Below are 26066 nucleotides of genomic sequence, written 5' to 3' on the forward strand. Positions count from 1 at the left end.
CTTTTATGTGCTCCCAGCCCTCTTGAAAAGGGCCGCTCCGGGACTACGCGTTCCAGAATGCAGCGGAAATGGGGGCGGAGCGCTCTCGGTTAGGGGTTTGGGGTTTGGCGGCCTAGATCCCGGGCACTGGCGGCCCAGCGCTGACCTGGTTGGTGGCATTGTGTTCCCAACGGCCTCTTGACGACCTCAGCACGGGTTTCCACCTCTCCCCAAGCCACCTAGTGACCCCAGAATTGACTGGGGAATGCCTGTGAGCGATGATGACCTCACAGGGAACAGCTGACCGCAGGGCTGGGAGAACAGCTGTGCCCCTTCGAGGCTGGATTTTAGTGGAGGGACACACGCCAAAGACCCCCTCTCTGCTGAGCCCCGTTTGTTGTCTCGGAGCCCACCCGACTCTAGCCGCTGAACTCTGACATGCTGAGGAAAACTGGGTGGAGCCCTGGGGGTCCCCCTCAGACCCCAGTCTCCGGAACAGGGCCCACTGGAGTCAGCCAGGGTGTGGCAGGCAGGTTGGTTAACCCCCTCCACAGACAAGACCACAGACCGATGCTCAACTTGCAGCAGCCTCTGCCTCACCCCTTAAAGGAGCTGATTATAGATTCCCTTACGCTGCCTCTCTAATTGTCTCATGATTGCATTCTTGAGGGCTATGGACCGAGGGAAAAGGATCCCAAACAGCACTCCTCAGCACCGGAACCAGAGTTGCTGCTAAACACGTGTTAATTAACTCGTTTCTATCTGAATGCTTTTGCATACACAAGGGAAAAGAAGCAAAAAGTGTATTCCTTATCTGGAAGACTTTGTGATTTCGTTGGGCAAAAAAGAACTACACACAAAGGTCTTGAATGATAAGTGATGGCTCTGCCTAGGGTTCGGTTCAGTGTGGAGGTTCCATTCAAGAGGAAGGAGGCCAGCACAGCGAATCTCTGTCCCTCTCTGGAAGTGGAGAGCCTCTAACAAGTTACCCTCTCCCAGATCAGCTCAGGGTACCGGGCGGCCAGCCTCCAGCCCCTGTCACCCTTCTCACCCACTCGCCACCCGTCCCTCAGGGGCTTTCTTGGAGGCACGGGGGTTATTGAGGGGGGCAAGAGAATCTCAACCCCGATACGTTTATGTTTCGACTTCCCCGAATTTCCTTGTGCCTGCGTTTTGCTGCCTGGGATCCCTAGCGTGAGAAGGGCTCCTTTACACTCAGAGGTGCCGTAATGGAGCCAAGGGACGGCATCCTCGGGGCTCCCGAGCCCCGAGTGGAGAAGCTTGGGGCAGAGGGACGGCGGGGGCGGCCCCTGGTGCCGGGCTGTGCCTGGAAGCGCGCCCCCGCCCCGGCCCCCGCTCCCGCCTCCCCACCCGCGAAGGCGGGACCGCGCACGGTGCGCCGGGGGGCGCGCACGCAGGGGGCTGGCCTGCCCGCGGCGCGGGGGAAAGTTGAGTTGGGAGAAGTTGGGAGCGGCGGGGGCGCGCCCCGGGGTGGGCACGGGGCAGTCGTCGGGAGCGCGCGAGTGCGCCGGAGGACGGGGAGAGACCCCGAGACCCCCGGGGCACGAAGTCCAGAGCGAGCGGGTAGGCGGAGAGGTGGTGGCGGGGGACGGCCAGGGCCGCAGAGGGAGGAAGGGAGGGGGAAGGAGAGGGGGGAACTCGGGACTCGAGCGGGGAGGGAGTGGAAGTGGAGGAAAGGGCGGAGACTGGGGCGCGGGGAACCGCGGTCTTGGGGAGAAGGATGGGGAGGCGGATGGAGTGCTGGTCGGAAGCGGGCATTCCGGGGTCCCCTTCTCAGAGTTCCCTAAAGCCAGGGTGCCGCGCCCCCTGCCACCAGGAGGGGGTAGTCTCCCCGAGGCGCCGCCGGCCCTCCCACTCCCCGGCTGGCTCCAGACCACCCCTCCCCTCCGGCCCCCCCGCATAGTCCTTCAGTCCCGTCCGGGGCGCCCAGACTGGGGGTTGCCCGGGGCCCCCATCCCCAATCTCCGGGTTGAGAGGCGAAGCCAGGAAAGGCGGGTGGCGGGTAAGGTCGGACAAGGGGTCAGACAGAAGAGGGAGCAGCTGGGTGGGAATGGGAAAGATGAGCCCGGAGAGTTGGACCTGACTCCCGGGGTCGGTTTGTCCAGGCGGGAAGTTCTGTGCTGGGTGTGAGAGGCGGCACTGCCTGAAACCCAGGGTCTACTTTATCCCCCTTCGTTTCCCCCGCCAGCCCCACATGGAAGAGCTGCGGAATTTACGAGTTCACTTGGGGGGTGGTTAATGCCCAAGTGGGGGTCCGAGGTGCTAATCCCTTGGTCAAGGGGAGAGATACTAATCCTCTGGGCCGGTCGGGGCTGGTCCCGGGAATGTGCCCCTACCCGGATTATCGGCACCGATGCTCTGGACAGAAGCTGCTTTGTGTTCTGGGACAGCAGGGGAGGGGGTGCAGAGGAGTGTGGAGGAGCGCGACGAGGGCACAGCCTGAGGTGGGAGTGGGCGCCTGCAGGTGCTCTGGGCGGACTCTCCCCACACCCTTCCCAGACTGGGTGCACTCACGCTCACCCACACCACCCGCCCTGGCTGAAGGCCTGCTGAGGGGGAGGGGAAGAGCGTGGTTAGCCAAGTTGGAGTGCTTGCCAAGAATGTGTTGCCAGGCTCCCCATCCTGGGTGACCCCCCCAGACCTATATTGTTTGACGCTACACTGACTTGTCTTACTCCTAAGTCAGGCACCCCCAGTCCCCAGCAACACACTGGGAGCATGGGTTGTTGGGTACCGTCACTTTTTGCCAGTCTTGGGTGCCCCCTGTGCTGACCCGCTAGGAATGCGCCCCCTATTTGCAGGGATTGGGCTCCCTCCTGCAGCTCCTTCTCTGCCCCCACCACACAGTGTCCTCCCCAGACTCCCTACAGTCACAGTCAGGAGGGTGGCAGCACTGCCACTCAGATTTTCCTGGCTCCAGGCTCTAGAGGGGCGGGATCCAGACTGCCCCTCAGAGGCAGAACCTCAAGGTTGCGGTGCCCACCCCCTCCCAGCCCATCACATGCCCCTCCCCCATTATAAAGCTCTGCCCAGCCCATGCCCACCTTCTGTGCCTTCCTCTCTCTCAGTGAGTGAGTGGAGTTGAGCTCCTGCCCTCCACCCAGCCAGCCTGCTTCCCTCCTGCCGGTCCCCAAGGACCTGGGGGAGGGAAGCCTCCTGCCGGCCTGTACTGGGGAGGGGGCACCCCCTCCCTGCAGGGGCATCTTGGGCTCTCTCCAGAGTTCTTCCATTCGTCTGCTTCCTGTCTCGGCAGCCCGGCCCCGGCTCCACGGGGTGTCTCACCCTCCCCACCACACCCTCTCTGGTCTCAGGCCCACCTCTGGTGGGTGCCCTGACCCTGCGAGGCTCCGTTGTCTGCCTGGGCCTTCACTCCCCTCTTTCCCCAGCTCATTATCACTCCCTCCCTCATCTTTGTTGCTTTCTCTCCGGGCCTGGGCCTTGACTCCTTTCTCCCTCATTTTTCTTGCGGCCTTTCCCACCTCCTCTCTCCTCCTCCCTCTACTCAGCCTCTCGGCCCTTTTCGGCCCCCCTCGCCTCAGTCCTCTCCTGTCTCCTTGTTCTTCTCTTTTCTTCCTATAAATAACTCTCCTCTGTGCTGTGGCTGCCGCTAAGGGCCACTCTGAGGCCCTTCATACTCCAGGAGGATCCCCAGCAGCGCAGCCTGCGCGTGGTGGCTCCTGCCCTCCCAGGGCTCTCGATGGTGATCAGGCCTCTCCCCCATCCAGGTTATGCCTCCGCCTCGTTGCCCTGAAAGCCGCAGCGACAGCGAAAAGGGCTAAGATTCGGCCATGAGCAGCGCCCCTCGGCGCCCCGCCAAGGGCGCAGATTCTTTCTGTACGGTGAGTGTGGCCCCCAGGTCGCCAGCCCAACCTTCCCTCCCTGGGCAGCCTTGGGTGCTCCGGCCAAGGGTCCTCGCCAACCAGGGGTGTGAGCGTGTGTGAGTGTGGAGACTGGGAGGATGCTGCCATCCCTACCCTGACTTTGCATGATGGTCGTAGGGGGGGATGGGTAGTGGGGGTATCAGACGTCTTCCAGTCCTGGGGAGGGAGTTGAGGCTGTTACCTGAAGACCTAGGTAGCTTAGCCTCAGCGGTTGAGGAACTTTGAGAACCCTGGGTCTCTCACCCAGCAACCCGTCTCAGACCCGGCTGGCCTTAGAGGCGCAGGTCAAGTCTGCACGCGGGCCAGGGTTCTGGGCGGAGCTCGCCTGCCACGACTGGCCACGCCCCCTGCCCACGTGCCACCCAGGCCCGCCCCTCCCTGCCCCCACGTGGCCACCGCTCCACATGGCCCCCTTTGGATTTTCCTAAGGAGTCTTAATGATTAACCCCGTGCCACAATCAGCTCCGCTATTGGTCACACTGGCCCAGAGGGGCACGTGACTGGGAAGGGGCACAGGCTGGTCCCCTCCCCCTCCTTCTCAGGTTCACCCCTGCCGGCCATGGACTTCCTCCTGCGGCCTCAGGTGCGAGGGGTCTGCGACCCTCTCTCCCCATGGCGGCAAGCTCCCTGCGCCTCTCCCCGTCCCCTCGTCCCACGGGGCTGCTTCTGGTGGGAGTGGGGCTGGGCGCTTAGGGGAGCCAGGAGATGGACAGGAGCCTTCCTCACAGAGGGGAGAAGCCAGCCCCCTGGCCCGCTCACCTTCTCTTATCCGGTGTTCTGCCAGTCCCAGCTGCTCCAGTCCCCACCTCGCCCCTAAGACCCGCCCTTCACCCCAGCCCTCCCCGCGCTCTTCCTTGTTCTGGCTGCTGGCACCGCTATGGAGGGGGCTGCATACCCCCGCCCTTGGAGATCCCGATGCCCTTCAGGTCCAGAAGCTCTTGAGCAAATATTTGGCGGCGCCTGGAGCTGAGACCGTGGGTGGGTGGGGGGCTGGACCAAGGCTGCCTGGCCAGGCGGCTGCCGCTTAGCTGGGCTGAGCTCTTACAAGCGCCGCATTCCCTGCCGGCTGTGCCGGCCGGCCGCTGCTCCGCGCCCGCAGGATGACTCAGGTGGGGGCTGTGGGGGTGGGGTGAGGGGTGGGGCTAGGGACCTGGCCCAGGGCTCGGGCCGGGGGCCTGGGGGCTGGGGGAGCTCTCCTGGGGGCTGAAGGGCATCCATTCCGGTCCCTGCGGGGCTGGGTTTGTTTGACTCGGACAGGCTCTGGGTCGGTTAGCTTGGGCGCCGCCAGAAGTTACTTTTTGGGCTCAGCAGTTGTCCTCAGGCCAACTGGAGTTTCTTCACTATCTGTCATGTGAACTTCCCGGTTCACACGCCCTCCCTCCAGGCTGCAGATGGGCTGGACACACGGGATTTCTTCCACCTGCCCTGAACTGACTACACAGCCAAGGGGGCTGGGCTGGGATGAGGGTAGCTCAGAACCCAGGGGACAGCTGCTGGGGGGACTGGGTCTCTGCATCTGAGGGGGCAGACTGCTGGGGGGACACTGGGTCACTGTGTTTGAAGGGATGTCTACTGGTAGGGTGACTGGCTTCCTGCATTTGAGGGGGCAGACTGCTTGGGAGGACTGGGTCCCTATATTTGTTTCCTTTTTTTTTGTTTTTGTTTTGAGACGGAGTCTCACTCTGTCACCCAGGCTGGAGTGCAGTGGCACGATCTTGGCTCACTGCAACCTCCGCCTCCCAGGTTCAAGTAATTCTCCTGCCTCAGCCTCCTGAGTAGCTGGGATTACTGGTGTCCGCCACCACGCCTGGCTAATTTTTGTGTTTTTAGTAGAGATGGGGTTTCACCATGTTGGTCAGGCTGGTCTTGAACTCCTGACCTCCAGCAATCCACCCACCTCAGCCTCCCAAAGTGCTGGGATTACAGGTGTGAGCCACTGTGCCTGGCCTGGGTCCCTATATTTAAGGGACAGCTGCTGGGGGCATATAGAGCCACCAGCATTAGAGGAGATAGCTGCTGGCGGGGGAGGGTTCCTGGGTCTCTGGCACTGGGAAGGGTGAGGTTTCGGGGTACAATTCCCAGTGAGCCCTGTGTGTTTTCTCTCTGCCTTCTTCCTCACAGCCAGAGCCAGAGAGCTTGGGCCCTGGGACGCCTGGGTTCCCCGAGCAGGAGGAAGACGAACTTCACCGCACCCTGGGCGTGGAGCGGTTTGAGGAGATCCTACAGGAGGCCGGGTCTCGTGGAGGGGAGGAGCCAGGCCGCAGCTATGGGGAGGAAGACTTTGAGTGTGAGGGGGCAGGCAGGGGAGGGGGAGGTGGGGGGATCAGGTTTGACTGTCCAGCAAAGAAGGGACTGGGGTCCTAGTGGGAGGAGTGGGGCTAGGGGGCAGGATGGCAGGGGAGGGACACTGTGCCTGCCACAGCCAAGTCCCCCTCCTCCCTGCAGACCACCGCCAGTCCTCCCACCACATCCATCACCCACTGTCCACCCACCTGCCTCCGGATGCACGCCGCCGCAAGACACCCCAGGGCCCAGGACGGAAGCCTCGAAGGCGCCCGGGAGCCTCCCCGACTGGAGAAACCCCGACCATTGAGGAGGGGGAGGAAGATGAGGATGAGGCCAGCGAGGCTGAGGGGGCCCGGGCTCTCACTCAGCCGTCCCCTGTCTCCACACCCTCCTCGGTGCAGGTGCGCTGGGTGCGGGCTCCTAGGGCATGTCGGCAGGGCCCTGGCCTGGTCACTCCTGCCCATGTGGGTCCCTGTTACAGTTCTTTCTCCAAGAGGATGACAGTGCTGACCGGAAGGCAGAGAGGACCAGTCCATCTTCCCCTGCACCACTGCCCCACCAGGAGGCGACTCCTCGGGCCTCCAAAGGGGCCCAGGCTGGGTAAGTACACCCCAATCAACAGTGTCCCCAACAGACACTTCCCCTGCTAGGATAGTGAGGTGATGCTGGAACAAAGCATGAGCCTTGGAATCACCAGGCCAGGGTTCAAATCCCAGGCCCGCACTCACTGGCTGGGCAAGTAACTTAATTAAGCTCTCCAAGCCCCAGGTTCCTCATCAGAAACCAAGCATAACAGAACGTTTCTCACTGGGCGGCTGTAGGGATTAAGGGTGGTGTGAATTAAAGTTCTAAGTATGGTTTAGCCTGGCAAAGAACACGCGCTGCCTAAGCTGCCTCCCACCCCTGCCCGTCTCCCACCCCTGCCTGTGGTGTAGTGGGAGCAATAGCCAGCACTGGCTCAGGTACTGGACTGGTGACCTCCCAGCACTTGCTGGAGGCCCCAGGGTTCAAGAGGCAAAGGAGACCCCCTCTCCTTGGGGCACTGCCAACACACGCTGGTTGGAAACCAGATGTTATCATGTGAGATGGCATCAGCATGTTGTCACTGCACCCAGTGGCTGGTTCAGGCAAAGTGTCAGTACCAGTGGATGATTGGCATTTGGGGGAAGGCTTCCTGGAGAAAATGACTTTGAACTAGGTCTCAAGGTCACTACTATCACGGACCTGTTGTTTTCTGGGTGCCAGGCAGCGTGAAGGGCTGCGGGAAGTGAAGGGCATGTTGTCCCCTCTGGGAGCGCATAACCTGCTGGGACCGTGGCACAGATGCGGGCGGCGGGTTACAGCGGCCTTAGGGGCGCCAGGATGGCAGGGAGGAGGCTGGGGCTTCCGAGAAAGCCTGGCATCAGGAAAGGGTCGGGTTTGTGGGCCAGGGCACGTGGGGGCTAGGAGAGCCTGGTCATGGGAGGGGACTCTGATGTTGAGTCAGAGCTTGGAGCTCTGGGGGCTCTTGATGTTGAGAGAGAGGGGTAGGACCACGTGGCAGGGCCCTGGCCACCCAGTGTGGCAGAGAGAAGGGAGAGAGCAGAAGCTGGCGTCTGTGAAGCCTGAGGCTTACCCCTCCTCCCAGGGCAGGAAGCTGTCTGCCATCTCCAAGGCCCGGTGCCACGGACTTTATTCCTCTTGATTAAACATAGGCCCCTGTGAACCTCTGAGTCCCATGTCTAGGGATGTGCCAGGGGGTGAGGGGGCAGGGGGATGAATGCTGACTGTCAGGAAGCAGCGTCCTGAGCTCCTTTTCTGCACCAGGACCTGCACTGGGACTTTTCCAAAATCTCACCCCTCATGGCACCGCCAAAGGCTGGTCTCAGCCCTGGCTGCTGAGGAGCAGTTGACGTTCGCAGTGGCCGTTCAGAGGGGCCTCGGGGTGACCGTTTGGGGCTGCACAGCCAGAAAAGGGTGGAGCTGGGGTTCGGATGCTGGCAGTCTGCATCCAGAATCCTCCCCCTCCCCGTGCCCGCACCTCCCGGGAGTGGGAGCTAGGAGGGCCTGGAGTCCGATGTGGGTCCCCTCCCTGGCTACCGCCTGCGTGGGTGCTGGGCGTGGGGGAGGAGGCCAGGTTTCTCGGGCTCACGGCCATTCTGTCTGCCTAGAACCCAGGTGGAGGAGGCGGAGGCGGAGGCGGTGGCGGTGGCCAGTGGCACTGCAGGGGGTGACGACGGGGGTGCCTCGGGGCGCCCCCTGCCCAAAGCCCAGCCTGGGCACCGCAGCTACAACCTTCAGGAGAGGAGGCGCATCGGGAGCATGACTGGGGCTGAGCAGGCACTGCTGCCCCGGGTCCCCACGGATGAGATTGAGGCCCAGACGCTGGCCACGGCCGACCTAGACCTCATGAAGAGTAAGTGCTGGGCCTTGGCCAAGCCCGGCACTGGTGGGCAAAGGAGTGAGAGAAAGGGGGAGCCCAACCTTGGTCCTCTGCCCCCACAGGTCACCGGTTTGAGGACGTTCCTGGGGTGCGGCGGCACTTGGTGCGGAAGAATGCCAAAGGTTCCACACAGAGTGGCCGAGAAGGGCGGGAGCCTGGCCCCACACCTCGGGCCCGACCCCGGGCCCCCCACAAGCCCCATGAGGTACCATGCTCTGCTTCATGCTCTTCCATCAACTTCCCACACGACCCTGCCCCTACCTCTCAGACCAGCTGTAATCTCAAGCCTCAGGGTTGCCACTGTTGTTTTGTTGTTGTTTGAGACAGTCTCGCTCTGTTGCCCAGGATGGAGTGCAGTGGTGTGATCTCAGCTCACTGCAACCTCTGCCTCCTGGGTTTAAGCGATTCTCCTGCCTCAGCCTCCTGAGTAGCTGGGATTACAGGCACCTGCTACGCCCAGCTAATTTTTGTATTTTTAGTAGAGATGCAGTTTTACCATGTTGGCCAGGCTGGTCTCCAACTCCTAGCCTCTAGGAATCCGCCCGCCTCGGCCTCCCAAAGTGCTAGGATTACAGGCATGAGCTGCCGCGCCGGGCCCAGGGATGCCACCTTTGGTTGTGAAGGTTGTACACTGCACAAGAGTGCAGTATACACATCTTAGAGCTTATTGACTTGGGCACTGTGATTATACTCCCCATGGTGGATGTCGTTGATTTGAGTATTGTGGTTATAATTCACGTCTGTTAAAAGGCCTGCAAAACGCCATTGCTTTCATATACAGTGGCCATTTCTCAAGTGCTCACTCTGAGGCACGTAGCGTGCCATGTGCTTTTCCTTTTCATCCTTCTGACAGTTCTTTGAGGTGGGTATTATTCCCATTTGACAGATGAGGGAAACTGCGTCTCATTGGTTAGTCAGTTGTCCAGGGTCCCAGCTGGCTGTGGGACTGGTGCGCCTGTGCACCACCCACTGTGCTCGTGCTCTCCAGGGTCACTTGGCTCCCTCTGACACCACTCACCTCTGACACCCACCCCAGGGCTGCCTCCGGCTCTGTACCCTGAAATGCCTTCTCTTCTCTCCCCAAGGTGTTTGTGGAGCTGAATGAGTTGCTCCTGGACAAAAACCAGGAGCCCCAGTGGCGGGAGACAGCTCGCTGGATCAAATTTGAAGAGGACGTGGAGGAGGAGACTGAGCGCTGGGGGAAGCCCCACGTGGCCTCCCTCTCCTTCCGCAGTCTCCTGGAGCTCCGCAGGACCCTGGCCCATGGTAACCCCGCTCCCCTCCACCTCCCGCCTGGCCAGTCCCCAGGAAATTCTCCCACATGGCCCCAAATCTGTCTTGAGCCCCACGTTGTGTGACAGCCCCAGAGCCCAGAGGAAGCATGGTCCACACCCAGCTCACATTTGCATTTTCGGCCAGCAGCTTCTTGATATTCTCAGATAACAACTGAAGCCGATGTGTTTTGGTTGCGAAAATGTTCGAGAAGCTATTTAGATGTAAAGCTTTCTGAAATTCCTGGCATGCCTTGGTACCATCTTAGAGATTCTGTGGAATGTGATCTAATCTGCAGCTGTGTAGACCTCACGAAATGACCACCGACCACAGATGCAGGACTTCCAAGCCCTGTGTTTGCTTGCTTGCTCCTTCCCAATGAGTGACCACTCTCAGTTGTTGTTAAAAGGCCTGTTTCTAAGCAGCTGAGGTTCTGTGGTTTGAGGCAGCCTAGGAAAAAAATTAATTTTTTTTTTCGAGACAGGATCTTGCTCTGTTGCCCAGGCTGGAGTACAGTGGTGTGATCTTGGCTCACTGCAACCTCCACCTCCCATGCTCAAGTGATCCTCCTGCCTCAGCCTCCCAAGTAGCTGGAACTACAGGCGCGTGCTACCATGCCTGCCTAATTGTTTTATTTTTAGTAGAGATGGGGTTTCACCATGTTGCCCAGACTGGTCTCAAACTCCTGGGCTCAAGTGATTTACCCGCCTCAGCCTCCCAAAATGTTGGGAATACAGGCATGAGCCACTGTGCCTGGCTTAAAATTAAATTAAAAAAAAAAAAGTAAACGAAGCAGCTGCTGGGCGCGGTGGCTCATGCCTATAATCCCAGCACCTTGGGAGGCTGAGGTGGGTGGATTACGAGGTCAGGAGATTGAGACCATCCTGGCTAACAAGGTGAAATCCCATCTCTACTAAAAATACAAAAAATTAGCGGGGCACGGTGGCAGGTGCCTGTAGTCCCAGCTACTTGAGAGGCTGAGGCAGGAGAATGGTGTGAACCTGGGAGGTAGAGCTTGCAGTGAGCCAAGATCATGCCATTGCGCTCCAGCCTGAACGACAGAGCGAGACTCTTATCACCAAAAAAAAAAAAAAAAAAAGCAGCTGAGGACCTAGAAACCGGCTTTTAGAATTGTTTCCCAACTAGGAGTCCATAGGCCGTGAGTGAGGCTCAGGGTCTTTGGGTAAAGGGCCGCCGTGGAAGGGCTTTCTCACTGGGCGTTGTGGTCTCCAGCCTGGCTGCTCAGGGGTGTTTGGTTCTGTTTATTCTTTAGTCTTTGTTCCTGAAAGTTGGCCTTGCCAGATGAATGACCTGGTAACTTTTGAAGGGACTGTTATTTCTGTGTGCAATGGCGAGGGGAGGTTGAGAAGCCGACAAGGAAGTCAAGAAGCTTGGGGCGGAGGGGGGTCTTCAGATGGCTCCAGGGTGGCCACACGGACGAGGCTGCAGACCAGCTGAGTTGTGTATCAGGGTAGAACTAGGCCCCTAGAGTGACACAGCACCTGGCTCACTTAGAGGAGAGTTTTCTAACAGCCAAGAGGGTTCAGCCAGAGTGGGCGGCCTGGACCGTCCCCATGGAGGCCGGATGCTTCCTGGAAGGGGTGTCTGACAGGCGTGGCCTAGATGGCCTCTCTGGTCACTGAGGTTCAGTAGTCTCTGTGGAGCCTCATAACGTTCCTGGGGGTCTGGGGGAGGGGAGGAACCAGAGGGTTGATGTGACGTAGGCTCCTGTGGGAGCCAGAACTCGAGCCCGCGTCCTTCATGTGTAGGCTGGTGTTCCAGCCCCGGCACCCACCCACCTGTCCCCAGCTCCTGCTCCCCATCCCATCTCCTGCCACTGTTTTGTGACCTGGGGCTGAGGGGCCCTCTGTGCCATCTTATGCTAGGGGCTGTGCTCTTGGATCTGGACCAGCAGACCCTGCCCGGAGTGGCCCACCAGGTGGTGGAGCAGATGGTCATCTCTGACCAGATCAAGGCCGAGGACAGGGCCAACGTGCTGCGGGCTCTGCTGTTGAAACACAGGTGAGGCCCTGTGGGCCAGTTGGGGATGACACTTCAGCCCACCTGCCCTGGCCCTTGTCATTGACCCTCCTTTGCCTCACTGCCCTCTGCCCCACCAGCCACCCAAGTGATGAGAAGGACTTCTCCTTCCCCCGCAACATCTCAGCTGGCTCCCTGGGCTCCCTGCTGGGGCATCACCATGGTCAGGGGGCTGAGAGTGACCCCCACGTCACCGAGCCTCTCATGGGAGGTGTTCCTGAGACCCGGCTGGAGGTGGAGCGAGAGGTGAGGGGAGAACCAGCCCTGCCTGGGCTGGCGGCAGGGCTGAGGAAGCCTGGGTGTGGACTCAGAGTGGGAGGGGCCTGGCTGGGCTGAGCCCTGTCTGTGTCCCCCAGCGTGAGCTGCCGCCTCCAGCACCACCAGCTGGCATCACCCGCTCCAAGTCCAAGCACGAGCTGAAACTGCTGGAGAAGATTCCTGAGAATGCCGAGGCCACGGTGGTCCTTGTGGGTATGTGGGGCAGGTCACATGTAGGGGGCTTGGTGGCCAGGCCTTGAGGCAGAGTCCTGTAGTCTCCCTGGCCCTGCCTTGGTGCCACCCTGGGCGAGGGACTGGAAGGCGGTCCTGCTGCTCTGCTCTTGCCCACGATGGTCCCACGCCCCTAGGCTGCGTGGAGTTCCTCTCCCGCCCCACCATGGCCTTTGTGCGGCTCCGGGAGGCTGTGGAGTTGGACGCAGTGTTGGAGGTGCCGGTGCCTGTGCGTTTCCTCTTCCTGCTGCTGGGCCCGAGTAGTGCCAACATGGACTACCACGAGATCGGCCGCTCCATCTCCACCCTCATGTCAGACAAGGTCAGCTACCCTCCTCCTCTGGGCCCTGCTTCCTGGAGCCCATCCTAGGCCAGTCTTGATCCCCATGACTGCCTCCCACCCACTGGCCTTGCCCACCCTCAGCTCCAGGCCCTCAGCCCTCTTCTTTGTGCTCTCCCCCATCCCCATGCTGCTTTGGCAGCAATTCCACGAGGCAGCCTACCTGGCTGACGAGCGGGAGGACCTGCTGACGGCCATCAACGCCTTCCTGGACTGCAGCGTGGTGCTGCCGCCTTCAGAAGTGCAGGGCGAGGAGCTGCTGCGCTCTGTGGCCCACTTCCAGCGCCAGATGCTCAAGAAGCGAGAGGAGCAGGGCCGGCTGCTACCTACAGGGGCTGGGCTGGAGCCCAAATCTGCCCAAGATAAGGGTACGGCCAGGGCGGGCTGGGGCCAGGGCTGCCTCGAGGGGGTGAGGTGGGCAAGAGGGGCTGGGGCGCCCTGACGGAGGCCTGGGTTGCAGCGCTCCTGCAGATGGTAGAGGCGGCAGGGGCAGCTGAAGATGATCCCCTTCGGCGGACGGGGCGGCCCTTTGGGGGGCTGATCCGAGATGTGCGGCGCCGCTATCCCCACTACCTGAGTGACTTCCGAGATGCACTTGACCCTCAGTGCCTGGCCGCAGTCATCTTCATCTACTTTGCCGCCCTGTCTCCTGCCATCACCTTTGGGGGGCTGCTGGGTGAGGAGAGCCTTCAGGTAGGGGGCGGCGGGGACTGCCCAGGGCCTGGCCACCAGCTCCTGAGCTGGTTCCTACACCCCTAGGAGAGAAGACGCAGGACCTGATAGGGGTGTCGGAGCTGATTATGTCCACAGCGCTCCAGGGCGTGGTCTTCTGCCTGCTGGGTGCCCAGCCCCTGTTGGTGATCGGCTTCTCAGGGCCCCTGCTGGTCTTTGAGGAGGCCTTCTTCTCGGTGAGGGCTCTTCTCGCCCATCTCCAGCCGCCCCTCCCGTGCCCTAGACACCTCCCCACAGCATCCCCACCCAGAGCTCAGGACCTGACTGCCCCTCCCTCCAGTTCTGTAGCAGCAACCACCTGGAGTACCTGGTGGGCCGTGTGTGGATCGGCTTCTGGCTGGTGTTCCTGGCCCTGCTCATGGTGGCCCTGGAGGGGAGCTTCCTGGTCCGCTTCGTCTCCCGCTTCACCCAGGAGATCTTCGCCTTCTTGATCTCACTCATCTTCATCTATGAGACCTTCTACAAGCTGGTGAAGGTGGGCAGGCCCCTGCCGAGAGCTGGGCCAGGAGGGCCGAGGTCTCAGGGCTGGAGGGAGTCTCTTGGTCCCATCCTCTGGATTTGAGGCCAGGCTGGTCTGGAGCATCCCCGGGGCTTGTTGCCAACACGTATACCAGGGCTGCAGATTACTCTTTTAATTAATTAATTAATTTGAGACATTCTTACTCTGTTGCCCAGGCTGGAGTGCAGTGGCGTGACCTTGGCTCCCCGCAACTTCTGCCTCCTGGGTTCAAGCGATTTTCCTGCCTCAGCCTCCCAAGTAGCTGGGATTATAGGTGTGCACCGCTATACCTGGCTAATTTTTGTAATTTTAGTAGAGACGGGTTTCACCGTATTGGTGAGGCTTGTCTTGAACTCCTGACCTCAGGTGATCCACCCACCTCGGCCTCCCAAAATGCTGGGATCACAGGATTTAGCCACCACACCTGGCCTTAATTTATTTTCAAACAGCAACTCGAACTAGACAGATCAATCTTTCAAAAACTCATACTTTTATTTCTTTTTTTTTTTTTTTGAGACAGAGTGTTGCTTTGTCACCCAGGCTGGAGTGCAGTTTTGGTGCAATCTCTGCTCACTGCAACCTCTGCCTCCTGGGTTGAAGTGTTTCTCCTGCCTCAGCCTCCCAAGTAGCTGGGATTACAGGCACACGCCACCATGCCCGGCTAAATTTTTTGTATTTTTTTAGTAGAGATGGGGGTTTTACCATGTTGGCCAGGCTGGTCTTGAACTCCTGGCCTCAAGTGATCCGCCCGCCTCGCCTCCCAAAGTGCTGGGATTACAGGTGTGAGCCACTGCACCCAGCCAAAAACTCATACTTTTATTTTTTAAAAACTTCTATATTTAATGGCACAGTGGCGCCATTAGAGCTCACTGTTAGTTCAAACTCCTGAGCTCAAGTGATCCTTCTGCCTCAGCCACCCTAATAGCTGGGACTGCCGGCGGGCCCCACGCCTGGCTAATTTTTAAATTTTTTGAAGAGGCCTGCCTAGATTGCCCAGGCTTGTCTGGAACTCTCCTGGTCTCAAGCAATCCTCCTGCCTTGACCTCCCAAAGTGTTGGGGTTATAGGCATGAGCCACCAGGCCCAGTCCATCTTTATTTTATTTTATTTTATTTTATTTTATTTTATTTGTTTATTTGTTTTTTGAGACAGAGTCTTGCTCTGTTGCCTAGGCTGGAGTGCAGTGGCCCGCCTCACTGCAACTTTGGCATCCCAGGTTCAAGCGATTCTCCTGCCTCTGCCTCAGCCTCTCGAGTAGCTGGAATTACAGGTGCCCACCACGCCCAGCTAGTTTTTATATTTTTAGCAGAGACAGGGAAGGCTGGTTTCGAACTCCTGACCTCAAGTGATCTGCCCGCCTCGGCCTCCCAAAGTGCTAGGATTACAGGCGTGAACCACTGTACCCGGCCTGTTTTTTTATTTTTAAAAAATACATTATTTTTAATTTGGTTTTAAAACTCACATTTTTTAATAACAAAGGTACATGCTTTTGTTAAAATGTCAAACAATCCAGGAGTGTAGAAAGGGGAAAGGCTCCAGAGGTGACAGTCAGTCTGGGCATCAGATGTGTGTGACAGGCCACTCAGTGGTCCTCTGTGCTCATGTCCTCTTCCTTTAGGCCCCTGGATCCTCTCTGGGCCTGGCTGGTGCCACTCACCACTGCCTTCCTGACTTATACTAGCCGCTTGGTCTTTTCTGCCCCACACTGCCCTGTGCTCACAGCTGGTTCTCTGGGTCATTGTCTTAATTCAACAAGACAAGCTCCTTGAAAGCAGGCCAGCCTTTCCCCTGCCCCACCCCTTCCACCCGACACTCACTGAGCCCCAGGAATCTTTTCTGCAGTCCAGCTGATGGAGGCCGTGTGGCCTCCTCTCCCCAGATCTTCCAGGAGCACCCCCTGCATGGCTGCTCAGCCTCCAACAGCTCAGAGGTGGACGGCGGTGAGAACATGACATGGGCCGGGGCAAGACCCACGCTGGGGCCGGGCAACAGGAGCTTGGCTGGGCAGTCTGGGCAGGGGAAGCCCCGGGGCCAGCCCAACACGGCCCTGCTGTCGCTGGTGCTCATGGCCGGCACCTTCTTCATCGCCTTCTTCCTGCGCAAATTCAAGAACAGCCGGTTCTTTCCTGGCCGGGTGCGTGGGCTTAAAGGCCAAGAGGGGGTTAGGGGCAGGAAGGGGGGTGGCAGGAAGTCAGCGGCTGTGGTGGCAGGACTCTGAGCGCTGTGCCTGCCCACTCAGATCCGGCGGGTGATTGGGGACTTTGGGGTGCCCATCGCCATCCTCATCATGGTGCTTGTGGATTACAGTATTGAGGACACCTATACCCAGGTAAGGTGCTGCCCACAGCAGGCAAGTGCTGCTGCCTCTGCCACCCCGGGTCTAGGTGTTCCCCTCCAGCCTCCAAACCCAGCCTGTCCTTAAGCTTAAGCCTGTCCTTAAGATGCCATCCCCTTTCCATGGCATGCCCTCCACATTCACCTTAACCCTTGTCCCTACACTGTGTCTGCCCTGCAGAAGCTGAGCGTTCCCAGTGGATTCTCGGTGACTGCCCCAGAAAAGAGGGGCTGGGTCATCAACCCCCTGGGAGAGAAGAGCCCCTTCCCTGTGTGGATGATGGTTGCCAGCCTGCTGCCCGCCATCCTGGTCTTCATTCTCATCTTCATGGAGACACAGATCACCACGTGAGTGGTCCTAGCCAAAGGGGTGTGAGAGGCCAGAGCCCCAGGCCAGGCTGGGGAACTCAGCATGGAACCTCCAGCCACACTGGGCAATCCCAGGGACCTCAGGGAACCTTGGATGCCCAGATGGCCACAGTTTATTCTGTAGACAGCAGAAAAACCCCGATGTTTGCTGGGACAGGAACAGCACGTGGAGGGGCAGGCCACCCTGGCAGTGCTAGCTGGGAGCTGTCATGGACGATAAGGGCTGGGGGCCCAGGTTTTGCTCTGTAACGGAATTTGAATCCTGACGGAATGGACAGGGACCGCCAGGTTCCAAAGCCAGATGGAGGGACTGGCTGGGCATTCTGGAAAGACCCTGTGGTCTGCGGAGCTGAGTCCAGCCTGGGCCTCAGCAGCACCCCTCCCGCTCTCAGGCTCATCATCTCCAAGAAGGAGCGCATGCTGCAGAAGGGCTCCGGCTTCCACCTGGACCTGCTGCTCATCGTGGCCATGGGCGGCATCTGTGCCCTCTTTGGCCTGCCCTGGTTGGCTGCTGCCACTGTCCGCTCTGTCACTCACGCCAACGCGCTCACTGTCATGAGCAAGGCTGTGGCACCTGGGGACAAGCCCAAGATTCAGGAAGTCAAGGAGCAGCGGGTGACGGGGCTGCTGGTTGCCCTGCTTGTGGGTACGTTGCCTCTTGCCTTTCCCTTCCCAGTGGATTCCCCAGGGCTACTGGGGCCAGGGGACCCCGGGGCCAACTCTTTCTCCTGCGCCTCCCGTAGGCCTCTCCATAGTTATCGGGGATCTGCTCCGGCAGATCCCCCTGGCCGTGCTCTTTGGAATTTTCCTGTACATGGGAGTCACCTCCCTTAACGGGATCCAGTTCTATGAGCGGCTGCATCTGCTGCTCATGCCGCCCAAACACCACCCAGATGTCACTTACGTCAAGAAGGTGAGCCCCCCAGCTCCCCACCGGAAGGGGTGTGCCTCTGGCCATCCTGGTCTACTTGGGTCACTCTCCAGCTGCCCCCTCCCATCTGCCCAGTTCAGCCAGCCCCCACCTCCTCTCTGTACCAACCCAGCTCTGGCACCTAGGAATGTTCTTCCATCCCCGCCTCCGAAGAAGAGAGAGGCTCTTCCCAGCAGCAGGCTAGGGAGGAAGCTGGGCTCACCTGTCTCCGCCCCCCAGGTCCGGACCCTCCGTATGCACCTGTTCACGGCCCTGCAGCTGCTCTGCCTGGCCCTGCTCTGGGCCGTCATGTCCACAGCTGCCTCCCTGGCCTTCCCCTTCATCCTCATCCTCACAGTGCCGCTCCGCATGGTGGTGCTCACCCGTATCTTCACCGACCGAGAGATGAAATGTGTAAGCCCTCCCGTCTGCCTCCCCCGGTTCCTCTTGCCTCCCTGTGGATCTGGAAAGGCCCCCCCACTTCCCTTCTTGACCGCCACCTCCCCACACACAGCTGGATGCTAACGAGGCAGAGCCGGTGTTTGATGAGCGGGAGGGTGTGGACGAGTACAATGAGATGCCCATGCCTGTGTAGCCGCCACCGAGGGACAGCCGAGGGACCGATGGACGAGGGGACAGGCTGGTGGGATGGGGTTCCCCCTCCCATGCCCCTCCCTCCTTTTTATTTAAGTGAATAATTTAAAGTCTTCTCCTCCCCCACTGCCCCTGCAGTAAAGTGCTTTGGCCCCCACCTATCTGTGGCCTTTTGTCTTTGTATGGGGGGCGGGGCATGAATGGAAGAGGCGGGGGACTCAGCTCTGCTCCCCGTCCCAAAACTGAGATTCACAACGGGGAAGGAAAGGAACTTTAATGAGAAATCAAAACACAGGGAACCAAAGTGCAAATCATCCACCCCCCATGGGGGGGCCATCCTGAACCCCACATCAACCCCTCAGCCCCCTTCAGGCCCCCAGCGCAGGCCCAGGGCCTGGAGCTTCTGCCTCAGGTAGCTCTTGAGCTGGGGCAGGCCTCTCTGGGACTCCAGTTCCTCGAAGGGTAGCTGTGGGGAGAGGAGAGGGCGGCAGGTTACCCGCAGGCTGGGAGTGAGGATGCGCCACGGGCCAGGCCAGGGCCACTCACCGGCAGGAGCTGGTAGCCCATCAGGCCTAGGTGCCGCTCCCTCAGGGCCCTCGAGCCCAGCAGCACCCGGCCGTCCCGGCAGAAATGCCAGCGTTCCCGCAACACCAGCACCACCCTGCAGGGGGAGGGACGTGGCTCAGGGCATGGCGGGCAAGGTGGCCAGGGCTCCCCCACCCTGCCTCCTTTACCTCTGGGCAGGGTCTCGAGTAGTGGCGCTAGAGGCAGCCTGGCCCTGTGGGCAGGACCTTGGTGGGTATGGCAGGAAGGGGTCCTGGGTCCTCACGGGAAGCACAGCACCAGAGCTGCTGGCGCACAGCAGGAAGTCTGGAGGGGAGCAGGGCCGGCGGCCTTAGCCAGGGCTCCGTCTCCCCGGGCCTGCCGCCTGCCCCTTGCTCACCTGTGCAGTAGCCTGGAGGCACAGTCAGGTCCTGGCGGTATTTCTCCTCCCCCAGCAGCTGGCGCAACCCCTCAGCTACTATGTCCTTGTGACTGAGGAGAAAGGACACCAGTAGCAGGAAGGGCCCGGCACCTCATCCTAATCTGTCCCAGTCTAGTGCCACCACCCTGGGCAAAGCCCTCTGCTGCTTCAGGGCCCAGTTTTATGGTGGCCGAGAGCTCCTTAGCTTTGGCGCTTCATGGTCCCTCTGGCTTTTCCACTCTGCTGGTCCCAGGCTGGCCCCTCCCCTTGCCCCAGGCTGCCCCATCCACCTGTACTTGCAGCGGGCACGGTCGGTGATGAGAGGCTGGGGAAAGATGGGCACTTGCTGCCTTCGGGGAAGGCGGGGACCCCGGTATCCTGGGAGCTCCAGCTCCACGGCCGTGTCCAGCAGGGAGAGGTAGCGACGCACAATCAGAGCATGAGGGGTGCCTGTGGGGAGGCGGGGACTGGGGCTCTGGGCTGCAGGCCACCCTGCTCCCCTGCCTCTCCAGCCCTCAGGGGCCCAGCCAGCCATCCTGGCTGCGTACCACTGATGTAGTTGATGAAGCCAGGGGAAAAAACAAAGTGCAGGGCTCTGAAGGGCAGGCACCGCAGTTGGCACAGTGACATCAAGATGTTGACTGTAGCCAGGGGTGCCACCCCTGCTTCCCGAGCCAGGATCCTCTCAAGGCAGGGCATAAACTGCTGTTCCAGGGGCAGGTAGTTCAGTCGCCCAAAGGGCAGGACCAACTTCTGTACCACCTGTGGAGGAAGAGCAGTTCATTACCCAGTGTCAAGTATTTCTGCAGTCATCTTTTACAAGCTAAGCCTTAGAGAGGCTTAGCCCTCAGGTTTACAACACTGCTGTAAAGACAGGACAGTCCCTCCGGCCTCACAGTTCAACAGCAAAGCAGTCACGAGCTGCACGTGACTAATCACCAGACAGGCAGAGGGGACATCGCTGTGGGGTCTGGCCCTGAAGACTTCGAGAGGGATGGGTGGAGCTAGGATGCTGCTAAGAGTGCTTTGGGAAACTGCAGATTTCCAGGAATGCATGCTGCTGACAGGAGGTGGGCAAGCCACAGAAAGGGTGTAGAAAAGATGCAGGTCCCAGGGGACAGAGAGGGTGTGTCTGCTTCAGGAAAAGGATAGCCGAGCTGCACGAGGCGCTGGGCCTGACAAGGTCCCTGAGAATGACAGAGATGCACTGGAGGGTGGGTGGCAAGCCCACCTTGCTGCTGAGTTGCGTTTCCTGAACCACCAGGAAGTGGGCAATGGCTTCCAGAAGCTGGGGCTCCCGCAACCGGTGCCGGGCCAGGTGCTGGGCCAGGAGCACCATCACGTGGGGAGTCAGTTCCTCTGGCCTTGCCTCTGTGAAGAGCAGCCTGTCACGCTGGGCCTCAGCCGGACCTCCGGCTGGCTCAATTCCACCTCAGCCCAGCCAACTGAGCCCACCTTCCTCCTCCTGTCAGCCCTCCCCACCCCCATCTGATTTTAACCCCCTCCAGCACCTGCCAGGCTGCTGATCAGATGCTGCCGTGGATACCGCAGAAAACGGGGGCAGCTTAGAGCAGCTTCCAACCCTTGCCCACCTCGGAGAAGGGGCTGCAAAGGGGGAGGTGGCTTCGGAGGGAGGCGGAGCCTTCGCTCCTGTTCCAGGGCACACACCAGGGGACCATCAGATGGAAAGCCTGAGGGGGAGAGGTAAAAGGCAGCCTGGTAACAGAGCTGTGCTGCTGTTCTTATCATGGGGTTACTTGGTGAATTCTCCACCTTTCTCCTCTCCCGTTTCCTGAGCGGGAAGGTGTGCTAGAGTTTAAGTGCAAACACTAGAGACATGTAAAGTATCATGTGGCTATGAGGTATCGAAACGGTTTGTAGGGAGTACATACAAAGATGGCAAATAGGCTTTCATCTCATACCAATTGTGACAAATTATGGTGGCTTCCTAGGGCACTCTATTAGCAGGAATCTGGGGTGGCACCCTAGCGAGGCCGGAAGGAGTGCGTTCGACTCATGATGTCTGCCGCAGACATAGGACGGGAGCAGGAGCAAGCGTTCCTGGGCAAACGCCTGAGAGGCTGGGTCTCTGTCCGTGGTCCTCTACTGTTCTCCCTATTCTTCATTAACACCTAGCCCCCCAGGCGCCCACCTCAAGCCCCTCCTCACCAAGTAAGACTGCAAGGTGCAGACACACGTGGATGGTGTGAATGTCAAAGGAGGGGCAGTTTCGGATGATGAGCTGACTCAAGTCCTGCAGTGTGACCTGCTCCACAGGAGGGGGCCGTGGCCGAGACCCCAAGAGCTGGCCCAGACGACGAAGCGCCACCGAGTAGTGGTGGGCGCGCACCTTGCTGGGGTTCTGGCCCAGCCAGCGCAGCAGCTCCCCAGGGCTCTTCGCCTGTTCCAGAAGCCGCTGCAGTCCTTGCACAGGACCTGCACTGGGGCCTCCTCCAACAGGCCGGTCCCCCCATTTGCTGGGCCCCAAACAGCAGGGCTGTACTGGAGGGATCAGCAGCAGGCCAGACAGCCGAGCAGGGGAGGTCTGAGCAGAGAGCAGGACTCGAAGCATGGAGTTGGGTGATGGAGACCCTGAGGGGCAGCCCAAAAAAGGGGGTGAGGTTTTCTCCAAAGGGGAGAAAGACCTGCTACCTACTGCTTACCTCACTCCTCATTTAGGGGGCCTGTGGTCAGAGCAAGCCTTTGTGACTGCTCTGGGCCTCTTCCCCACCCCGCCCCTCTGCCTCCTTCCACGCCTTTGAAACAGCAATCATAATCCTCAGTGCGCTCAGCGCAGCACTACTTGCAAAGCAATTCCACATGCACCATCTCTGATGCTCCTTACACGCCCATGAAGAGTAGGCAGGGCTGGCATTACCTCATTTCACCGGTGGAGAAACGCAGGCCCAGAGCAGCGAAGGGGTTAAGTTAAGCCCGAGGTCATTAACCGGGTTAGTGGTCGCGCCCAGTCTGGAGCCCAGGCGGCACCGGCGTGCACTCTCCCGACCACCTCCCTCTCCCACAGGAGGCGGCGGCGGCACAGAGGGTGGAACGCGGGCTCCGCGGCTGGACGGTGCTGGGTTCCATGCTGGGCGCTCCCACTCACCAGCGGCGTGACCTTGGACAAGTGGCTTCGTCTCTCTAAGTCTCCTCACCCGTGAAATGAAAACGCAGCGCCCACCTCGCAGGGCGCGCGTGGAGCCCGAGTGCACCGCTTTGCGATGGCGCGGAGTCGGCGAAGTCGGGGGCCCCAACACCCACCCCGGCCCAGGGACGCCAGGAGACCGTGGCCGCTGCCGCTAACACCAGCTCCCGCTGCCCTCCCGCAGCCCTCCCCGCAGGCGCCACCCCTACATGACTCCCCGGGCCCTGCGCAGGTCGCTCCCTCAGTCGGTCTCGGGGCCCGGGGGCCGGGTTCCCCCCGCGGCCTCCTCATCGGCTAGCCACCGAGTCCGCCATCTTCCCAGCAGCCCCTAGATAGCCGCCCGGACGCCAATCCCGAAGCAGCTATCGGTCTTCGGAGACGTGGCTCCCGGCAGGCACTGCGAGCCAGGGAGCCGCGAGCCCCGCCCGCGGGAAGTGCGCGCCCGGCGCCGAGGGCGGGGCCACGGAGGCCGGCGCCAAAGCCAGAGCAGAACGCTGGGGAGAAGGGAAGGCGGAGGGCCAGACCCCAGGCGCAGTCCGTGCCCTTCTCTCCCAAGGGGCGAGGACTCCCCGCCCGCCAGCCCGCACACACTCAGACACACTGCAAGAGTGAAAACTTCACAGTTACTTTAATCTGCACGGGTTCCGGGGAACTCCTCTGCCCCTCCCCGCTCCCCTTCACCAGCCTCCCACCGACCTGGCGTCCCCAACTCAGCCCAAGGAGCTGTCAGGGATTGGAGGCGGCTGGGTCCTCCGGCAGAACACTAAGACGGGCCCCCGGGGCGGCCCGGCTCTGCCCGGGGCCGAGGCAGCGACAGCAGATGCCCGACCCCGAGGAGCCCACTCCCAGTGCGGGCTGAGGGTCAGCAGCCCCGGGAGGTGGCCCCGAGCCCCGGCGGTCGCAGGGCGGGGCCTCCGCCAGTCCCGGGAGTCCTCTGCGGCGCAGGGCTGGGCTCCAGGGCGGCGGGAAGAGGCAGGCCGGAGAGGCGGGCCTGGGCAGGCAGCAGCTCCCGCCGCGGCGCGGGGAGCAAGGTCCGGAGGGGCCGGCGACGCTGCCAAGCGCCCGCGGAGGCACTACGGGCGGTACATGGCAAAGGCCAGGAGACTGAGGAGCAGGGTGAAGCCGGCCAGGCCCAGAGTGGCGGTCAGGGGAAAGAAGGGCCGGTACTGGATCTGGCAGTACCAGAGCAGCAGCAACAGCAGGAGCAGCAGGGGCAGCAGCAGGCTGCCGATTTCCAGCCCGGAGGGGCCGGGCTCGGACCCCGGCGGGCAGGGGGGATTTGGGGGACCGACTCTCGTGGACACGTGGCAGTGGAGAACGCAGTTGGGAGGGAGGTGAAGGCTGCCCAGGGTCTGGGTGTCGTCGCCTAGCAGCTGCCCTTGGTAGATGAGTCGCACCTGCTGTTCCCGGCCGGGAAACTGGGTCCTGAGGAGAGAGGGACCTGGGTAAGAGAGCAGGCCTCAGGCAATCCTAGTCCCTGGCCCCGGAACAGCACTCCCACCCTCCCCCTGCCCTCCACAACACACCGGCCCTGGCCTGGGAGGGGCCGTCTGCCAGGGGAACAAGTACAGTTGTGATCTGGGGCGCTCAGCGCCTCCAGTATAAAGGAGGGCTGGGTCTTAGGTGTCTCTGGGGGCCTTCTGCGACCACTCTCCCAACCCCTGTCTTTAGCATTGCTCCTGCCTCTTGACCTACTTACCTTTTCAAGGAGCCAATGGTGTCGTGGGGCCAGGCCCTGGCCACCTGCTCTGAATCATTGAGGAATTTCAGCCGTAGCACGAGGGGCTCCTGCGGGGAGTCCGGGGCTGGCGGTGTTGCTGTGAACCCCGTGCTGGGCTCTGGCTGTGCAGCTTGACCTCTGTGTCTCAGGCTGGGGGTCTCTGCCCCTGGGGCCTCCCCTCTCATGCTGTCGGTAGCTGCCATGGCTGCGCTGGGCTGGGATGGCGTTGGGGTCCCTGACGGCTGGGGCAGTGGGTCCCCGCCCTCAGCGGTGTGCGTTGAGACCCAGGCAAGGGCCAGCACCAGAAGGCAGGCAAGCACCGAGAAAAGGACGGTCACCTCATCACCCACCCCTTCAATCAGGGTCATGGCGCCTGCCTTGCCCGCCGCGCTACCGAGCTGGAGAGGCACAAAGAGCCCGTGAGGCCCGGGCCCCCTGGCCAGGAGCCCTGGAACCTCCACAGGGTCCTGCCCTCACCCCACCGCGACGCTCCCACCGTCCTCAGCCTCCGTCCCCTCACCCACCCCAGGGTACCGGCTTCTCTGCCTCCCAGTCGCCCCAAACTTGCCTCCGGGTGCCCCTTCCCATCGCCGAATCCCAAGTCCTAACTTTCTGTCATCTGAGCTCGAGGTCTTCAACCAGCTCCCAACTCACCCAAACCCTATCCCAAGGTAAGGGCCTAAGCAACGCCTCTCCTAAACTTCACCCCAACCAAACTTCACCCCCAAGCGTATCTATTCTCCTGCCCACTTCACCCCAGTGTGTCTACTCCTTCACCGACTTCACCCCAGGCTCATCTACTCCGCTGCTAAAGTTTCTAAGAGGTGGGGGTAGAGCCTCTGTGCCCCCACCCCCGCCCCCCGCGTTACGGTTCACCTAAACCCCACCCGCGGCACAGGACTGCTTCCCAGGCTTCCCCCACAGCAAACGTCAAACTCCGCCCCTGGGCAATCTGGAGCCACCGAGCGTCACCACCCACCCAGCTCGGCCCCCTCCAGGTCCCCTCAACCCCACTCCGCGGAGGACTAACTCCGCGCCTCCTCTGGAAGTCTCTCCAAGCCCCCCGGGCTGCCTGACCCCAGATCCCGCCCGGAATCCGAGACTTCACGTTCCCCACCCCCACCTCTCATCACCCCTCCCACCTTCCCGCCCCCCGAAGCCGCAGGAGGGCACGGCGATCCCGGCCCGACCGGGGCCCTGGGCGGCGGGGTGGGCGCGGTCACGGCGCGGGGACTCACCGCCCGGCTCCCCCAGCTCCATCGCGGCCCCTCGGGCACTTCCGGGCGGGAGGCGCGGAGGTCGCAGGCACCTGAAGCACCCCTCCTTCCCCGCCGCCGCGGCCCGGGGCATTGTGGAACTTGTAGTCCGGCGCCGCGCTGTCCCCGCCCTCCGCCCTGCGGACCCACGTGTGGGGCTCCACCCGCGGTTCTCTGCGCCTGCAGATCGCGAAGGGGCTGGCGGGGGCGGTTTTGGGGGTTGTGCTACCCCCTAGAGGTTTGGGCGGCAGCAGCGTCCGCCCCCTCCCCTGCCAACAGCCAGGGCATCTATCACACCAGACACCGACGTCAGCTGGAGCACGTCAGAGTACCCGTGTTCGTGATGCAGTGTGGAAGGCTCTGAGGAACTCAGGTGGCCCCTACTGTTATGTCAGAGTGGACGCCAGAAGGCACTTTGGCCACCAAAATTAATTCTTCAGCCCAGAGCCCAATATCCATGGGCTGCCCCACCAGGCTGGCTAGGGATACCCATCCTCAGGGCTGCCCCTTTCCTTGGTCCCCTCCTCCACCTTCGGGACTCCACAGCCCCTTCAGGGCTGTGGAAGAAGCATAGACCTTGGAACCTGGCAGAAATCCTGATCCCTTATCTTGTGCTTCTCAGCTATATGACCTTGGGTGGGTTATTGAATCTCTCTGAACATTAATTTCTTCCTCTCTAAAACACACCTCGTAAGTCAATCATAAGGAAGAAATTAGATGTTTTATTAAAAAGTGTAAAAACTAAGGTACATGTCACACAGTAGCTATTCGCTCACCTCCACCCAAACCTGGTCTCAGGAGTCGGGTCTTTGGT

The 26066-nt window shown here is 60.8% G+C and overlaps 4 protein-coding genes across 18 annotated transcripts, besides 18 other annotated features; 2 read left to right on the forward strand and 2 right to left on the reverse strand.

The window, feature by feature from the left end:
• On the forward strand, positions 1–18328 carry SLC4A2 (solute carrier family 4 member 2). 4 transcript variants are annotated; one of them, NM_001199692.3, is made up of 23 exons: positions 1–989; positions 3726–3839; positions 6003–6168; positions 6327–6568; positions 6649–6767; positions 8318–8562; positions 8652–8794; positions 9675–9855; positions 11748–11883; positions 11982–12147; positions 12258–12372; positions 12528–12712; positions 12873–13098; positions 13191–13406; positions 13490–13638; positions 13743–13937; positions 15840–16094; positions 16200–16289; positions 16476–16642; positions 17056–17309; positions 17407–17576; positions 17814–17987; positions 18088–18324. In NM_001199692.3, exons 2-23 carry the CDS (start codon positions 3789–3791, stop codon positions 18166–18168), a joined length of 3726 nt encoding a protein of 1241 aa, NP_001186621.1. In that variant the 5' UTR covers positions 1–989; positions 3726–3788; the 3' UTR covers positions 18169–18324. The 4 variants fall into 4 exon arrangements, with proteins under 4 accessions (NP_001186621.1, NP_003031.3, NP_001186622.1 ...); NM_003040.4 differs by lacking the exon at positions 1–989 and adding an exon at positions 1390–1563; NM_001199693.1 differs by lacking the exons at positions 1–989; positions 3726–3839 and adding an exon at positions 4348–4464 and having other exon boundaries at positions 18088–18328.
• Positions 121–400: an enhancer, noted in NCBI's record as "active region_26848". NCBI's record gives its function as "activates an Ori minimal core promoter by ATAC-STARR-seq in GM12878 lymphoblastoid cells {active_cell/tissue: GM12878}" and the evidence as "EXISTENCE:reporter gene assay evidence [ECO:0000049][PMID:35858748]".
• Positions 481–530: an enhancer, noted in NCBI's record as "active region_26849". NCBI's record gives its function as "activates an Ori minimal core promoter by ATAC-STARR-seq in GM12878 lymphoblastoid cells {active_cell/tissue: GM12878}" and the evidence as "EXISTENCE:reporter gene assay evidence [ECO:0000049][PMID:35858748]".
• Positions 571–660: an enhancer, noted in NCBI's record as "active region_26850". NCBI's record gives its function as "activates an Ori minimal core promoter by ATAC-STARR-seq in GM12878 lymphoblastoid cells {active_cell/tissue: GM12878}" and the evidence as "EXISTENCE:reporter gene assay evidence [ECO:0000049][PMID:35858748]".
• Positions 1264–1453: a silencer, noted in NCBI's record as "silent region_18792". NCBI's record gives its function as "represses an Ori minimal core promoter by ATAC-STARR-seq in GM12878 lymphoblastoid cells {active_cell/tissue: GM12878}" and the evidence as "EXISTENCE:reporter gene assay evidence [ECO:0000049][PMID:35858748]".
• Positions 1494–2083: a silencer, noted in NCBI's record as "silent region_18793". NCBI's record gives its function as "represses an Ori minimal core promoter by ATAC-STARR-seq in GM12878 lymphoblastoid cells {active_cell/tissue: GM12878}" and the evidence as "EXISTENCE:reporter gene assay evidence [ECO:0000049][PMID:35858748]".
• Positions 2184–3091: an enhancer, noted in NCBI's record as "H3K4me1 hESC enhancer chr7:150757470-150758377 (GRCh37/hg19 assembly coordinates)". NCBI's record gives its function as "activates a minimal SCP1, AML or CMV promoter by ChIP-STARR-seq in naive H9 embryonic stem cells {active_cell/tissue: H9 hESC(naive)}" and the evidence as "EXISTENCE:reporter gene assay evidence [ECO:0000049][PMID:30033119]".
• Positions 3729–3779, forward strand: LOC128092247 (uncharacterized). The gene has a single exon (NM_001414898.1). The coding sequence runs from the start codon at positions 3729–3731 to the stop codon at positions 3777–3779; it is 51 nt and encodes a 16-aa protein (NP_001401827.1).
• Positions 7064–8046: an enhancer, noted in NCBI's record as "H3K27ac-H3K4me1 hESC enhancer chr7:150762350-150763332 (GRCh37/hg19 assembly coordinates)". NCBI's record gives its function as "activates a minimal SCP1, AML or CMV promoter by ChIP-STARR-seq in primed H9 embryonic stem cells {active_cell/tissue: H9 hESC(primed)}" and the evidence as "EXISTENCE:reporter gene assay evidence [ECO:0000049][PMID:30033119]".
• Positions 11587–12087: an enhancer, noted in NCBI's record as "H3K4me1 hESC enhancer chr7:150766873-150767373 (GRCh37/hg19 assembly coordinates)". NCBI's record gives its function as "activates a minimal SCP1, AML or CMV promoter by ChIP-STARR-seq in primed H9 embryonic stem cells {active_cell/tissue: H9 hESC(primed)}" and the evidence as "EXISTENCE:reporter gene assay evidence [ECO:0000049][PMID:30033119]".
• Positions 17047–18024: an enhancer, noted in NCBI's record as "H3K4me1 hESC enhancer chr7:150772333-150773310 (GRCh37/hg19 assembly coordinates)". NCBI's record gives its function as "activates a minimal SCP1, AML or CMV promoter by ChIP-STARR-seq in naive H9 embryonic stem cells {active_cell/tissue: H9 hESC(naive)}" and the evidence as "EXISTENCE:reporter gene assay evidence [ECO:0000049][PMID:30033119]".
• Positions 18025–19000: an enhancer, noted in NCBI's record as "H3K4me1 hESC enhancer chr7:150773311-150774286 (GRCh37/hg19 assembly coordinates)". NCBI's record gives its function as "activates a minimal SCP1, AML or CMV promoter by ChIP-STARR-seq in naive H9 embryonic stem cells {active_cell/tissue: H9 hESC(naive)}" and the evidence as "EXISTENCE:reporter gene assay evidence [ECO:0000049][PMID:30033119]".
• Positions 18425–22610, reverse strand: FASTK (Fas activated serine/threonine kinase). 11 transcript variants are annotated; one of them, NM_001258461.2, is made up of 10 exons: positions 22486–22610; positions 21301–21723; positions 20724–20822; positions 20363–20502; positions 19680–19893; positions 19422–19581; positions 19111–19202; positions 18902–19037; positions 18714–18828; positions 18425–18633 (listed from the first exon to the last, which is right to left on the reverse strand). In NM_001258461.2, the coding sequence occupies exons 1-10, from the start codon at positions 22565–22567 to the stop codon at positions 18526–18528; spliced, it is 1569 nt and encodes a 522-aa protein (NP_001245390.1). In that variant the 5' UTR covers positions 22568–22610; the 3' UTR covers positions 18425–18525. The 11 variants fall into 11 exon arrangements, with proteins under 11 accessions (NP_001245390.1, NP_006703.1, XP_005249989.1 ...); NM_006712.5 differs by having other exon boundaries at positions 20643–20822; XM_005249932.2 differs by lacking the exon at positions 22486–22610 and adding an exon at positions 22238–22475 and having other exon boundaries at positions 20643–20822.
• Positions 18803–18882: a silencer, noted in NCBI's record as "silent region_18794". NCBI's record gives its function as "represses an Ori minimal core promoter by ATAC-STARR-seq in GM12878 lymphoblastoid cells {active_cell/tissue: GM12878}" and the evidence as "EXISTENCE:reporter gene assay evidence [ECO:0000049][PMID:35858748]".
• Positions 19001–19976: an enhancer, noted in NCBI's record as "H3K4me1 hESC enhancer chr7:150774287-150775262 (GRCh37/hg19 assembly coordinates)". NCBI's record gives its function as "activates a minimal SCP1, AML or CMV promoter by ChIP-STARR-seq in naive H9 embryonic stem cells {active_cell/tissue: H9 hESC(naive)}" and the evidence as "EXISTENCE:reporter gene assay evidence [ECO:0000049][PMID:30033119]".
• Positions 20953–21929: an enhancer, noted in NCBI's record as "H3K27ac-H3K4me1 hESC enhancer chr7:150776239-150777215 (GRCh37/hg19 assembly coordinates)". NCBI's record gives its function as "activates a minimal SCP1, AML or CMV promoter by ChIP-STARR-seq in naive H9 embryonic stem cells {active_cell/tissue: H9 hESC(naive)}" and the evidence as "EXISTENCE:reporter gene assay evidence [ECO:0000049][PMID:30033119]".
• Positions 21930–22905: an enhancer, noted in NCBI's record as "H3K27ac-H3K4me1 hESC enhancer chr7:150777216-150778191 (GRCh37/hg19 assembly coordinates)". NCBI's record gives its function as "activates a minimal SCP1, AML or CMV promoter by ChIP-STARR-seq in primed H9 embryonic stem cells {active_cell/tissue: H9 hESC(primed)}" and the evidence as "EXISTENCE:reporter gene assay evidence [ECO:0000049][PMID:30033119]".
• Positions 21930–23024: a biological region, named in NCBI's record as "H3K27ac-H3K4me1 hESC enhancer GRCh37_chr7:150777216-150778191".
• Positions 22345–23024: a silencer, noted in NCBI's record as "silent region_18795". NCBI's record gives its function as "represses an Ori minimal core promoter by ATAC-STARR-seq in GM12878 lymphoblastoid cells {active_cell/tissue: GM12878}" and the evidence as "EXISTENCE:reporter gene assay evidence [ECO:0000049][PMID:35858748]".
• TMUB1 (transmembrane and ubiquitin like domain containing 1) lies at positions 22886–25294 on the reverse strand. 2 transcript variants are annotated; one of them, NM_001136044.2, is made up of 3 exons: positions 25235–25294; positions 23976–24394; positions 22886–23701 (listed from the first exon to the last, which is right to left on the reverse strand). In NM_001136044.2, the coding sequence occupies exons 2-3, from the start codon at positions 24362–24364 to the stop codon at positions 23350–23352; spliced, it is 741 nt and encodes a 246-aa protein (NP_001129516.1). In that variant the 5' UTR covers positions 24365–24394; positions 25235–25294; the 3' UTR covers positions 22886–23349. The 2 variants fall into 2 exon arrangements, with proteins under 2 accessions (NP_001129516.1, NP_113622.1); NM_031434.4 differs by lacking the exon at positions 25235–25294 and adding an exon at positions 24565–24820.
• Positions 23623–23917: an enhancer, noted in NCBI's record as "tiled region #12172; HepG2 Activating non-DNase unmatched - State 1:Tss". NCBI's record gives its function as "activates a minimal TATA promoter and a strong SV40 promoter by Sharpr-MPRA in HepG2 cells {active_cell/tissue: HepG2}" and the evidence as "EXISTENCE:reporter gene assay evidence [ECO:0000049][PMID:27701403]".
• Positions 25058–25447: a silencer, noted in NCBI's record as "silent region_18796". NCBI's record gives its function as "represses an Ori minimal core promoter by ATAC-STARR-seq in GM12878 lymphoblastoid cells {active_cell/tissue: GM12878}" and the evidence as "EXISTENCE:reporter gene assay evidence [ECO:0000049][PMID:35858748]".

The sequence above is a fragment of the Homo sapiens genome, chromosome 7 (assembly GCF_000001405.40).
Source record: "Homo sapiens chromosome 7, GRCh38.p14 Primary Assembly".
Lineage (NCBI taxonomy): Eukaryota > Metazoa > Chordata > Mammalia > Primates > Hominidae > Homo > Homo sapiens.

Bases quoted from the DNA above. Each gene is read 5' to 3' on its own strand.
- SLC4A2 (NM_001199692.3), top strand. From the start codon at position 3,789: ATGAGCAGCGCCCCTCGGCGCCCCGCCAAGGGCGCAGATTCTTTCTGT. The intron at 6,169-6,326 runs GTGAGGGGGCAG...TCCTCCCTGCAG, and splicing joins TGGGGAGGAAGACTTTGAGT to ACCACCGCCAGTCCTCCCAC. The intron at 8,795-9,674 runs GTACCATGCTCT...TCTCTCCCCAAG, and splicing joins CCCCCCACAAGCCCCATGAG to GTGTTTGTGGAGCTGAATGA.
- FASTK (NM_006712.5), bottom strand. From the start codon at position 22,567: ATGAGGAGGCCGCGGGGGGAACCCGGCCCCCGGGCCCCGAGACCGACT. The intron at 20,823-21,300 runs GTGAGGAGGGGC...TCTCCCCCTCAG, and splicing joins GCACCTTGCAGTCTTACTTG to GCTTTCCATCTGATGGTCCC. The intron at 19,894-20,362 runs GTGGGCTTGCCA...CTTCCTCCACAG, and splicing joins AAACGCAACTCAGCAGCAAG to GTGGTACAGAAGTTGGTCCT.
- TMUB1 (NM_001136044.2), bottom strand. From the start codon at position 24,364: ATGACCCTGATTGAAGGGGTGGGTGATGAGGTGACCGTCCTTTTCTCG. The intron at 23,702-23,975 runs GTAAGTAGGTCA...CTCTCTCCTCAG, and splicing joins ACCATTGGCTCCTTGAAAAG to GACCCAGTTTCCCGGCCGGG.